We start from the raw sequence: 13,936 nt of genomic DNA on the forward strand, positions 1-13,936 counted from the left end.
GTTTATTGATCCATTTCACTATTGCTAGATTGTAGTTACTTACAGTTTTTCACTTTTCTAAGCAATGCTGAAAGGAACATTCGTTTAAAGATAGTTACCTTCTTTGTTTTTTCCTTGTAGATGTATAACAGAATAAGAATTTGGTTTCTTTCACTTAACAATTACATTCATGATAATAGTGATTGCGTTTAAATTATTTTTTGCTTTGATGATTGGTCTACCAGCAAATGTTCCCATAAAAATCTAAAAGTCATTTTAGGAGGGGAAACATAATATCACATTTTTTGAAAGAACAAGTTTGATATTATGTTTATCCTTTAAATCTCATACTTTTCTGATAAAATACCCTAATTATGAATATTTTCTCCTAAAAAAAACTAGAAAATAATGTTACCCATGATTAAATTATTTGTTCTGGTGTTATATGCATGCATGTTTGTGTGAGCATGTATAGCAGTAAGATCATTTGAATTACTGTGGCCCCAGTGGTAATAGGCAACACTACTCTTCCACTAAATCATAGAGAAACCTTTCAGAGAGTTTTGCATTTTGTTTGTCAAAGTTTAAGAAAAAGCTAATTTTGTGACAGAGTTGTAAGCTTTATTAAACTGAACAGATGAGGAGAAAGAAATGAAACTATTGAAAAACTCATTAAGGGTTGTAATTCTAGAGTATAGTATGGACAGTTTCCAAAAGAATAGTAGCTTTTATGTGCTCTGAAGAAGCATACTTTATGGGTGATGTCATGTGTTTTGACTCTGAAGCTATGAATGTCACTAAAACAGATAAGAAAAAAAATTACTTTTCCAGGGGTGATAATTTTTCCTTGCTCATAGTCAAATTATTCTGAGAGACAAAGAAGCTGAGTTCACTTTACTTAATTTGTAATTTGTAACAGTTTAGACAGAGGTTAATCTAAACTTTACTTCTACATTTATCTGTGCTAAGAAAAATTAAAAATTTGCTAATGTTAAAGTTGAATGGATTCAGAAAATACAATCCATTAATTCAGCAATTCTGTAATTAGTGCCTACTAGGAATCAGATGCTATTCCTGATGCTGGGCATACAATTATGAATAAAATCATTGAGGTCTCTACTTCCTTTGAGCTTACTGTTAGTGGAGGATAGAGATAATAATAAACGCGTTTCAATGAGAGAGCATCCCATGGTGAGATGACCATTGCTATGAAGCATATAACACAGGGCGGCATGACTGAAGGTGAATGGGTAGGGGTGGGGAGGAACTGCCTTAGCTGTGGTGGCCAGGTGTCACCTCTAAGGAAGTAACAGTCAAGATAAGAGCTGAATGAGGGATCACTGTGCAGACATCCGGTGACAGACTCTGCAGTACAAGGAACAGCAAATGAACAGTGCTGATTATGGGAACATGTTTGCTGTGTTGGAGGAAGACAAAGGTCAGCGTGGCTGAGGAAGTGAGGGAGGGAATGGTTGGTGAGGTTGGCATGACAGGAAGGGGGCCGTGGAGACTTGATAAGGAGTTTCCTAAAGCCGATTTCGAAGAGCTCTCCTTGGCAGCAACACCTTACTTGCCGACCTTACTGCTCTTGACAGAGTCTCTACTTGAACATAGAAAATGACAGAATTACCTTTGAATCCGGGCTTGTCAGTCATTCAGTCAGGTCTTCTCCCTAATCACCCTCAATTGTGAGGATCTGCGATGCTATGAAAGGCACGTGCCTGTTCCAATAATTACCAGTACATCTGTTTAATCACTTAAACATTTAAAGCCTGAGTTATTCATATGTTCATGTGACTTTATAAGCACATCGGGGACTTCTGAATATGAATTTATGTCCCATGTAAAGAACCAGTACACTCTCTCTACATGATGGGACGGGGTGACCATCAAACTGTGGAAAGTGGGTACGTTTTGACGTGAAATAAGAGTGATACTATTTCACTATAGTTTTCCTTTACTATCTGGTGTTCCAGAACATTCCTTCTTCGCCACCATAGCATGTGGCCCTATCAAAGCCCCTCTATCTTCTCAAGGCTCAGCAGTCTCAGGTATAGTAACCATTCTTTGTGTGACATATTTCGTCACCCTTCAGTGCTCTGATCACTCACTACTTTATTGGATGTTGTTGGTCATACAAATATGACCAAAAGTGATCTAACCAATCAAAAGTGGGTCAGATGGATGAAGAGTAAAGTAGAGCTTTATATTCTGGATGCTACATCCATTTTCACTATTTAAGGTCACCCTAGCTTTTTTGAAATCCACTTCACATTTTTTTTCCTTTCCAAGGAGAAATTTAAAATAATCATCTCTTTTAGTCTAAAAACAAAAACAGATACTGTTTATAAGCCTTTCTTCATAAAAAAAATTAGAGCTAGTAATTATTGAAATTGATAGTAGCAAAAGCCATAGCTACCATTTCATGTCTCCTGTTTATGTGCCATACAGTCACCTAGACCCTTGCATATGTCATTTCTGGTTGGCATGAGGCTTCTATCAAGTATTTATTATTATTCTCAGTCTACATATAAAACTGGAATTAAGAAGTTATGTAATCTCATTCAAATTTTCACTTCTGGTAATTAGCATATCCAGGTTTCAAACAAGATTTGTTTGGCTCAACAGCCCAAAGTTGTAATCACCTCACTCTCTAGCCCCATTTAAAATCCAAATAGCCACCACTGTACTGTATCCCAAGAGTTTTATGAATATGAGCTCAATTACTCCTCACCACAGCCTAATAAAAATGAGTGTTTTGTGCCTATGCAAAAAAAAAAAATGAAGATGAGAAGTTTTCTTCAGGACCTTACAATTTCAAGTGACAGAAAACCTAAGTTTTAATGGTTTAATGGTTCATATAAAGTCTAGGGGTGGGCCTGGCTTCAGTCATGCCTAAGCCTAAAGGAGATAATCTCCCTCTCTTCATCTCTTTACTGTATGTTTCTCTCTGTCAGCTACCTTCACACATAGCCTTCCCTGCAGAAGTAGCAGAATAGCTTCCAGCAGCTACAGGCTCACATCCTCTCTGGTCACCCTAGAAGACCAGCCATGCCTCTCTCCCTGTAGTTCCTACAGTTTCTGGAATTGAGTGTCATTTTCCTTGATTGGCTTGACCTGAAATACATGCTCCCCCTGGGGCAGGAAGATCAGCTCAATGCAACTCAAACCCCAAAAGAAGAGAAGTGGTACATTGTACCTTCCCCAAAAAGAAAGGGGGGTGACTATTGGCTGAGCAAAACAAACAAACAAAAAAATCTTTCTATGTGCCTCCAGTGCAATAGCAGTAAGTGGCATAGTCAGGACTCAGATCCAGATTCATAAGGCTCCAAAATACTTTCTCTTACCCTTTATGCTGTCTTTTATCTCCATATAATTGTCTTTTAAAATTCATTGTGAGACTGTGAAGCTCCTGTACTTCCGTTAAAAAAATTATTAAGGAAGTGATGTTCAAAAGCATCAGCATACTTGTGGTTAATCTCTTTTAAAATAGCAAGTCTATCAATGTACAGGTAAATACTATTTCTAGAAGCTAGAAACTCTGAACTTTAGGTAAGAAAATATAATGATTTCGTGTCTAATTTCATAGATATCTTTGCGTTAAGTAAAATGTCCCTCTTCATATCTCCAAAATAAAGGATATTTAGCATAGAATGGAATTTTTCTTACCTTATAAGACTGCACTATTTTCTGCCTTTTACACCAATGCAACTGGTCTTTATCAACAACTCACAATCTTTATTTCATTATCTTTGACCTCTGATTTAGAGGACAGTACTCTCCCCTTGGGAGAAATTAGGAAGCATATAAGCAGAAAGAAATCATGTAAACAATGGAAAGAGGACACTATTAGGAACCAAGAAACCAGGATCATGATCCCAATTTGACATTGGCTCCCTGTGAATAAGGGATGGCAAATGGGTTCTAACTTTCTGAGATGATCTCCAACAACCCTCTTATATAATCTCTTTAATGGCTGTTTTCATGCTGAATGCAATAGAGTTTTTCATATTAGCCAATAAAGCAAAACTCATTCACTCAGACAAAATGAATTGAGAATCTATGACAAGGTACTGTGGTAGATACAGTGAAGCTGCAAGATGCCTCCTCCTAGGAATTTGTTGTCATCCCCTAAAATGCATTGTCTAATATGTGTATGACACTGTGCTAGAAGCTGGGACTGTAGAGATGTAAAGAAAACTACTGGGGGCTTATACACTAGCTGGAGAGATGTAAGCAAAAAGAAAGATAAACACAACAAGGCAGCATATTTGATGTGTGATGTGCCATGTGAACAGGACAAACACCCACTTTAGAAATTCAGCTTCTAATGACCAGTGCAGATCTTTAGGGACTGTTCACACGTACATTGTAATATGTGTGGATCTCTTTGTGTCCATGGGTATCAGCATAGAGGTAAATGTAGGAGATCAAGGTAGGGACACAAGGACTAGATTGTCAACCAATTATATTCAAATCCAGAGTCATCTAAATAAAGAAAGAGATTGGGAAGCCCACCACAAACCAGAGAAATGGTTATATCTACCTATGTTAAAATGCAAAACAGGAGTCACTAGTTTGTATTGACATATGCTGTAAATGAAAAACACACCCTGAATTTCCCAGATTTAATATGAAAAAAATGCAAAATATCTCAATCATTTCTATACTGACTACATGTTGAAATGATACTATTTTGGATATACTGAACTAAATAAAACATAATTAAAGTTACTTATTTTTTAATGTGGCTTCCAGAACATTTAAAATTACATATATGGCTTATATGATATGGCTATTGGATGGCACTGGGTTTCCTGCTTTGGAACTGTGCAAATCATTTAACTGCTCTGATATTCATTTTTATCATCTGTAAAATGGGGATGAAAGTAGTGCTGTTCTCACAGATTTGTTCTTAGTGTTAAATCAAATAATACTTAATAAGTACTTACCAGTGCCCAGCTTACAGTTAGGATTCAATAAATGAGAGCAGTATGTTCATGATACAGACATAACATGTTGGTGCAGGACGATATAGCTTGTCCAATAAGTGTGGAATTAGATTAGCACTACTCCGCTTCCCATAATTTACTAGCCTTATGACCTTGGGCCAGTTACTTAACCTCTAAGTACCTCAGCCCCCACCTGCATATGAATTGGGTTTATTAAGAGATGCATCCCCATTGCTGTTCTTGGGATAATTAAATGAGATAATCCATGAAAGGTGCTTAGAACCTTCCTGGAGCAAAATGATGGAAAATTATATTTGTATTGTTGTTACTGCAATTGTTCATATTCAGAAGATATTTGCTTCTTTAAAAATTGTATTTCTATTTGTGTTTGTTACTGCTATGGACCGAATTTCTGCGTCTCTTTAAAATTCATGTGTTGAAACCTTAATCCCAAATGAAATGACATTTGGAGTTGGGGGCCTTTGAGAGGCAATAAGGATTAGATTAGATCAAGAGAGTAAAGCCCCGGTGATGGGATTAAGTGCCCTTATAAGGAGTTGAAGAGACCAGAGCTTTCTCGCTACCATGTGAGGACATAGCAAGAAGGTATCTCTCTGGAAACCAGGAAGAGAGCCCTCGCCAAAAACCTGACCACACTGTTACACTCTGATCCCAGATTTCTAGCCTCCAGAACTGTGAGAAAAAAAAAGTTTGTTTTTTAACACAGCCAGTCTATCGTAGTTTGTTAGAGCAGCCCAAAATAAAACAGTTGTTTTAGTTTAAAATTTTTAAAATTTAGTTCAATTTGTGTTTTTCCTGATATTTGCTTTCCTTTTTTTCTGATATTTTGTTTTAAATTCAGAAATTCTAAACCACTGTGTGTTATGAATTCCCATGTAGCTAAAGGCATGTGCTGGCTTTTAAAAGTCACTGCCCACCCCACCTCAATCACCTTCTTATTTGACATACAAACATTGTGGATTTTATCTTGCCCTGCTACCTGCTAGGAGATCGAGCAGAGCATTTGTTTTCTTACTACTGAATCCTTAATACTTAGCAACATGCCACCAAGTATTCACCAAAGGGTTCAATAAATTCATTGAATGAATGAGAAACCCGATATAAATACTTACTTGAAGAATAATAATGAAATCAAGTTTTAATATAGTTCTAATTAGGTTCTGCATTTAAAGCTCTTATGTGAATAAAATCCTTGAGAATTTGTGAATTTTTTAAATCATTGACTAGATTCTGGATAGCTGAAGTTAATGGATAAGTGAGGTTTTACTGTGGCTGATATTCGGAGGCATGAAGAAAATTTCACTGAATTGACCTTTTATTTCATCTTCAACTAAATGGAAAAAAGTCTGCTCCATATTATAGAGAGAACTGAGAGTGGTGCTCCTCAGCGGTGGGACTGCGTTGGTAATTTTCAAGGTGGACAGCAGTTTTAGAAACTCTAGGATGTTATATAGATAATTGTAGTCTTATAATTTATTGATTTATTCCCACACCCACACCCTACCCCAAAAAGCTATGGTCTAATAGGCTCTGCTTTGAAGAAAAGAGTGCAATATTTTCTGGACAGTTGTGCTCAGTGCTGCCATATGGACGACTGCACAATTTGTCCTCAATCCTCATGTCACAGGACAATCGGCTCAATCTCTAATGAAAATGTGATGTTTTTTCTATATATACTGAAAAGTACTGCTGATTTCAGTAGTAGAGAAATTATATGGTATATTATTACATGGTAAACTATTTGGTATGTAGTTAAAGAATAAAGAAAAGATACTTCCATTCCTTTCTAGTTCTGGGTGATAGAATAATTTCCAACTCATCAAAATTTCATTGTTAAACCTTACTATAGCCCTAGGCATGCATCTAAAACATATCAAGCCACTGTTGAATAGATTACTAGCCACAGTTTCCACTCTCATTTTTTCTTTTCAGGAAGGCATAGGATTTGGTTTGTAATTATTATATCCTTAGATACAGAAAATTAAAAAATAATATTTAAGAGATTATTCAGCAGTTGGGATTTTTAAGTAATAATTTAGCTTTAGTCTTTGAAAACATACTGAAATATAAAACATCACCAAATTAAAATTAAAATACCAGTATAGCATGTTAACCTAGATGATAGGAGTGTTTTATCACCAATGTGTATTCCTAGGTTAAATGTATAAAAATAATTGGTACTTCCCCATTCGTACCATATTCCCAGTATTAGTATTAGCCATTGCTTAATTTTTAATAGCTGAGCTTGGATTTATAAACTTCTGTTTAAAATTTTCATTGTTTTTTAAAAAGATAGTATCATCTGCTAGGATTTTTATGGTTTTGTGTTTTACATTTAAGTCTTTAATCCATCTTGGGTTAATTTTTGTGTAAGGTGAAGGAAGGGGTCCAGTTTCAGTTTTCTGCATATGGCTAGCCAGTTTTCCCAGCACTGTTCACTGAATAGATCCTTTCCCCATTGCTTGTTTTTGTCAGGTTTGTCGAAGATCAGATGGTTGTAGATGTATGGTATTATTATTTCTGAGGTCTCTGTTCAGGTCCATTGGTCTATATGTGTGTTATGGTACCAGTACCATGCTATTTTGGTTACTGTAGCCTTGTAGTATAGTTTGAAGTCAGGTGGCATGATGCCTCCAGCTTTGCTCTTTTTGCTTAGGATTTTCTTGGCTATATGGGGTTCTTTGATTCCATGTGAAATTTAAAATAGTTTTTTCTAATTCTGTGAAGAACGTCAATGGTAGTTTGATGGGAATAGTATTGAATCTCTAAATTACTTTGGGCAGTATGGCCATTTTCACGACATTGATTTTTCCTATCCATGAGGATGGAGTGTTTTTCCATTTGTTTGTGTCCTCTCTTACTTCCTTGAGAACTGGTTTGTAGTTCTCCTTGAAGAGGTCCTTCACATCCCTTGCTAGCTGTATTCCTAGGTATTTTATTCTCTTTGCAGTGATTGTGAATGGGAGTTCATTCATGATTTGGCTCTCTGCCTGCCAATTGTTGGTGTAAAGGAATGCTTGTGATTTTCACACATTGATTTTGTATCCTGAGACTTTGCTGAAGTTGCTTATCAGTTCAAGAAGTCTTTGGGGTGAGATGATGGGGTTTTCAAAATATAAAGACATGTCGTCTGCAAACAGTAACAACTTGACTTCCTCTCTTCCTATTTGAATAGCCTTTATTTCTTTCTCTTGCCTGATTGCCCTGGCCAAAACTTCCAATACTATGTTGAATAGGAGTGGTGAGAGAGGGCATCCCTGTGTACTGGTTTTCAAAGGGAATGCTTCCAGCTGTTGCCCATTCAATATGATATTGGCTGTGTGTTTGTCATCAGTAGCTCTTATTATTTTGAGATATGTGCCATAAATACCTAGTTTCTTGAGAGTTTTTACCATGAAGTGGTGTTGAATTTTATCGAAGCCTTTTTCTGCATCTATTGAGATAATCATGTGATTTTGTCTTTGGTTCTGTTTATGTGATGGATTACGTTTATTGATTTGCATATGTTGAACCAGCCTTGCATCCTAGGGATGAAGCCAAGACTTGATCATGGTGGGTAAGTTTTTTGATGTGCTGCTGGATTCAGTTTGCCAGTATTTTATTGATAATTTTCGCATCGATATTCATCAGGGATAATGGCCTGAAGTTTTCTTTTTTTCTTGTGTCTCTTCCCGGTTTTGGTGTCAGGACGGTACTGGCTTCATGAAATGAGTTAGGGGAGAGTCCCTCCTTTTCGATTGTTTGGAATAGTTTCAGAAGGAATGGTACCAGCTCCTCTTTGTACCTCTGATAGAATTCAGCTGTGAATCCGTCTGGTCCTGGGCTTTTTTTTCGTTGGTAGGCTATTAATTACTACCTCAATTTCATAGCTTATTACTGATCTATTCAGGGATTCGACTTCTTCCTGGTTTAGTCTTGATAGGGTGTATGCGTCCAGGAATTTATCCATTTCTTCTAGATTTTCTAGTTTATTTGCATAGAAGTGTTTATAGTATTCTCTGATGGTAATTTGTATTTCTGTGGGGTCAGTGGTGATATCCCCGTTATCATTTTTTATTGTGTCTATTTGATTCTTCTCATCTTCCCTCTTAGTCTAGCTATCGGTCTATCTATTTTGTTAATTTTTTCAAAGAAACACCTCCTGCATTAAGATTTTTTGGAGGGTTTTTCATGTCTCTATCTTCTTCTTTTCTGATCTTAGTTATTTCTTGTCTTCTGCTAGCTTTTGGATTAGTTTGCTTTTGCCTCTCTAGCTCTTTTATTTGTGACTTTAGGGTGTTGATCTGAGATCATTTTAGCTTTCTGATGTGGGCATTTGGTGCTATAAATCTCCCTCTTAACAGTGCTTTATCTGTGTCCCAGAGATTCTGGTACGTTGTATCTTTGTTCTCATTGGTTTCAAAGAACTTCATTTCTGCCTTAATTTCGTTATTTACTTAGGAGTCATTCAGGAACACGTTGTTCAATTTCCATGAAATTTTGTGGTTTTGAGTGAGTTTCTTAATCCTGAGTTCTAATTTCATGGCACTGTTGTACTGAGAGACTGTTTATTATAATTTCAGGTTTTTTTTTGCATTTTGCTGAGGATCATTTTACTTCCAACTATAAGGTTGATTTTAGAATAAGTGCCATGTGGTGCTGAGAACAATGTATACTCTGTTGATTTGGGGTAGAGAGTTCTGTAGATGTCTACTAAGTCTACTTGATCCAGAGCTGAATTCAAGTTCTGAATATCCTTGTTAATTTTCTGTCTCGTTGATCTGACTGATACTGACAGTGGGGCATTAAAGACTCCTACTATTATTGTGTGGGAGTCTAAGTCTCTTTATAGGTCTCTAAGAACTTGTTTTATAAATCTGGGTGTTCCTGTACTGGGTGCATATAATTTAGTATAATTAGCTTTTCTTGTTGAATTGTTCCCTTTACCATGTTATAATGCCCTTCTTTGTCTTTTTTGATCTTTGTTGGTTTAAAGTCTGTTTTATAAGAGACTAGGATTGCAACCCCTGCTTATTTCTTTGCTTTCCAAGGCAATTCCATTCAGGACATAGGCATGGGCAAAGACTTCATGACAAAAATGCCAAAAGCAATTGCAACAAAAGCCAAAATTGACAAATGGGGTCTCATTAAGCTAAAGAGCTTCTGCTCAGCAAAAGAAACTATCATCAGAGTTCACAGGCAACCTACAGAATGGGAGAAAATTTTTGAAATCTAGCCATCTGACAAAGGTCTGATATCCAAAATTTAAAAGGAACTTAAACATATTTACAAGAAAAAAACAAACAACTCCATCAAAACTGGATAAAGAATATGAACAGACACACTCAAAAGAAGACATTTACATGGTCAACAAACGTATGAAAAAAAGCTCAATATGACTGATCATCAGAGAAATGCAAATCAAAACCACGATGAGATACCATCTCATGCCAGTCAGAATTGATTATTAAAAATCTAGAAACAATAGATTCTAATGAGGCTGTGGAGAAATAGGAATGCTTTTACACTGTTGGTGAGAATGTAAATTAGTTCAACCATTGTGGAAGACAGTATGGCAATTCCTCAAGGATCTAGAACCAGAAATAACATTTGTTCCAGCAATCCCATTACTGGGTATATACCCAAAGGAATATAAATCATTCTTCTATAAAGATTCATGCACACATGTTTATTGCAGCACTATTTACAATATCAAAGACATGGAACCAACCCAAATGTCCATCAATGATAGACTGGATAAAGAAAATGTGGTACATATACACCATGGAATACTATGCAGCCATGAAAAGGAATGAGATCATGTCCTTTGCAGGGACATGGATGAAGCTGGAAGCCATCATCCTCAGCAAACTAACACAGGAACAGCGAACCAAACACCGCATGTTCTCATTCATAAGTGGGAGTTAAACAATGAGAACACAAGGACACAGGGAGGGTAACAACACCCACCAGGGATTGTTGGGGGTGGGGGGTGAGGGGCAGGAACTTAGAGGACGGATCAATAGGTGCAGCAAACCACCATGGCACACGTATACCTATGTAACAAACCTGCACGTTCTGCACATGTATCCCATTTTTTAAAGAAGATATATTAAAAAGGATAGTATCATCTGAAAAATTTAGTTACAAAATTCTTGTAGAAAATGTATATGTACACACACACATACCCCCCATATATATATACACCACACAGATATTAGCATTATGATAATTTAATATAAATCACAGTATTTAAGAACAAATATGAATAGTTTAGATATGACCCTGGGCAATAGGCATTAGGAATTCAAGGAGAGTTCTTCTTCTAGTGTTTCTAAATCCTTTGTCTAATGAGTCTACCAACAGAGCCATTTATTTACAGGGAATTAAATGGAAACTGCTAAAGCACTCCTGATAATCTCCACCTGCTGTCCTATTATTAAAGAGCCTTGGAGTACAGTGAAGTAGACAAACACACTCATCTTACGTATTTTATTTCTAGTATAACCTCATGGACTAGTGATACGTTTGCAGTCATTTAAGAGGCTTTATGTAGCATGAAATACCAAAGAAGAGTGAAATCTGAATCATTATAAAACAAACCACAATACAGAGGTGAAAAGTACCATGAGTCTTAGCAGCTTTATTGTAAGAGTCCATTCAAACATTAGCATTTTCACAGTGCCAGGTGAATCCATCTGCAGGATACTGAAGTATACTGTCTGGTGCCTGCAGTTTGAGAACTGCTCATTATTAACTGGGTCATGATTCAGGACAGCACCCCAGATGCACCACTTCCAGCTTGTGCTAAAAGACGACTAGCCTCATTACCATGCCTGTCTCCTATGCACGCTCTCACTTACTTACCAAGTCATCATTTTTACCATCATTTCCAACCATGTCCATCATCTGTTGCCTATTTTAGACCTTATTTACTTTTTAAGTATACTCTAGATGTCCACTTAATCAGATTCTATGTGAATGTAAATGTTAGGGGCAGAAATGAAAGGACATTCATACTAATTAATTCGCAGCTTAGCACTATTCGTACTGCGAGGCTTTAGAAAGAATTTCTAGGCATGGCAAATCATATCTTCCTACTCCTCTTCAAGTGCAAGAAAAATGCAGCTCCTCCTGGAGAACAGTGGCAAAAATGAAATGTTTGTGGAGCCAGGCTATGTCCTTTCTTAAAAACAAGTTGACTTTAATTTCGCCTGGGTTGGACATGCTGATTAACAGAAACAGTAACAAGACCAGGGCCTTACAATGTTTTTCAGACCCTACTATCTGCAGAGGGAAGCAAGAAGAACCCTTTCTTACTAGGCTATCAAATAGAGATTGGCTTTGTGAAAGTTTTCTTTTCCAGTCCAGGCAGATGAATGAGAGTGAAAAATATGAGGGTGATGAGAAGTGGTTTGTCTCCCCAACCCTGATACCCTCTAGAAATCTGCAAGGTGGACACTTGTGTTCAAATGTGGTTCATTAACAAATAAACTTGTAGTCTAAGAACATTGCTGTAACTCACTTCTACTTTTCTTTACAAGTTAAGGTGTGGAAATACCCTGGGGCTATCCTGTTTCATTACTTCTCTGAATCCACAGGGAACTTCTCCACTTAGAAATCAAATTTTTGAGGCCGGGTGCCGTGGCTCACGCCTGTAATCCCAGCACTTTGGGAGGCTGAGGCGAGCAGATCACAAGGTCAGGAGTCCGAGACCAGCCTGACCAACATGGTGAAACCCTTTCTCTACTAAAAATGCAAAAATTAGCCAGGCGTGGTGGTGTGTGCCTATAATCCCAACTTCTCAGGAGGCTGAGGCAAGAAAATTGCTTGAACCTGGGAGGCGGAGGTTGCAGCAAGCTGAGATAGCATCACTGCACTCCAGGCTGGGCAACAGAGCAAGACTCCATCTCAAAAAAAAAAAAACTAAAAAATCAAATTTTTGGCCAGCCACAGTGACTCATGCCTGCTATTACAGCTCTTTGGAAGGTTGAGGTGGGAGGATTGCTTAGGGCCAGGAGTTCAAGACCAGCCTGGGCAACATAGCAGGACTTCATCTTTACTGAAAAATACAAAAAGTAGCCAGGCATGGTGGTATGTGTCTGTACTCTCAGCTACTCTGGAGGCTGAAACAGGAAGATCACTTGAGAGGCTGAGTCTGCAGTGAGCCAAGATGGTGCCACTGAACTCCAATCTTGGCAACAGAGCAAGGCCTTGTCTCAAAAACCAAACCAAAACAGAAAAAACAAAGAAAGGAAACTGAATTTTTGTGATGACCTCTGGTGGAAGAAAACTTAATAAGCTTTTATCCCACCTTCAACATATTCCTTAAAAGACACATAGTTCATTCTTTCTGGTAGTTCTATTTGTTATAATGTTGTGTAATTTATAGCTGAAGACCATGTTTACAAATTTTGTGTATCATCATACATATCTCTTATTTCTAAAATAAATTAAAAGTCAAACGTTACTTTGAGGGCATCTCAAATTTTTGAGGCTAATCAGTTTGGTAACTTTTGGTAACTGAGGCTAATCTCTATTAGAATGCTTCACAAGAAATCATTAATCTACTTTATCTGATTTTTCTTTTAATATAAAGGGAAAATGGTCTGATGATATAAAAAGATCTGAAAGCAATGTATGAAGGGGAGGGAAGTATGGTAAAGTGCTGAAGAAGTCAGTGTCTGGGTTCTTACAGGACAAAATTCAAATCTCATCTCTGCCACTTACTAGTTATGTAACCGTGGGCAAGTTCCTCAACCTTGGTAATTTTCTATTGTTTATTCTGATCGATGGAAATACGAATAGCACCTCCCTTAGAGTCCACTGTGAGATTAACGAAGTCATGCATTTAAATCACTTACCATAATGCCTAGCACATTGTAAGAACACAATGAATTACAGTGATAGCAATGTCAATATCAATATACTTGTGTTCCTTGGTTAAAAGTCTGATAATGGGCACTATCTCTAAATCGCTTCTGTGTTTTCCTTGTAGCATACAA

At 37.1% G+C, this 13,936-nt stretch overlaps 1 protein-coding gene across 2 annotated transcripts in view; it reads left to right on the forward strand.

Moving 5' to 3' along the window:
- Positions 1 to 13,936, forward strand: part of OXR1 (oxidation resistance 1) — a 482,517-nt gene that overhangs the window by 163,596 nt on the left and 304,985 nt on the right. The window lies entirely within an intron of this gene.

Source organism: Homo sapiens, chromosome 8, assembly GCF_000001405.40.
Source record: "Homo sapiens chromosome 8, GRCh38.p14 Primary Assembly".
Lineage (NCBI taxonomy): Eukaryota > Metazoa > Chordata > Mammalia > Primates > Hominidae > Homo > Homo sapiens.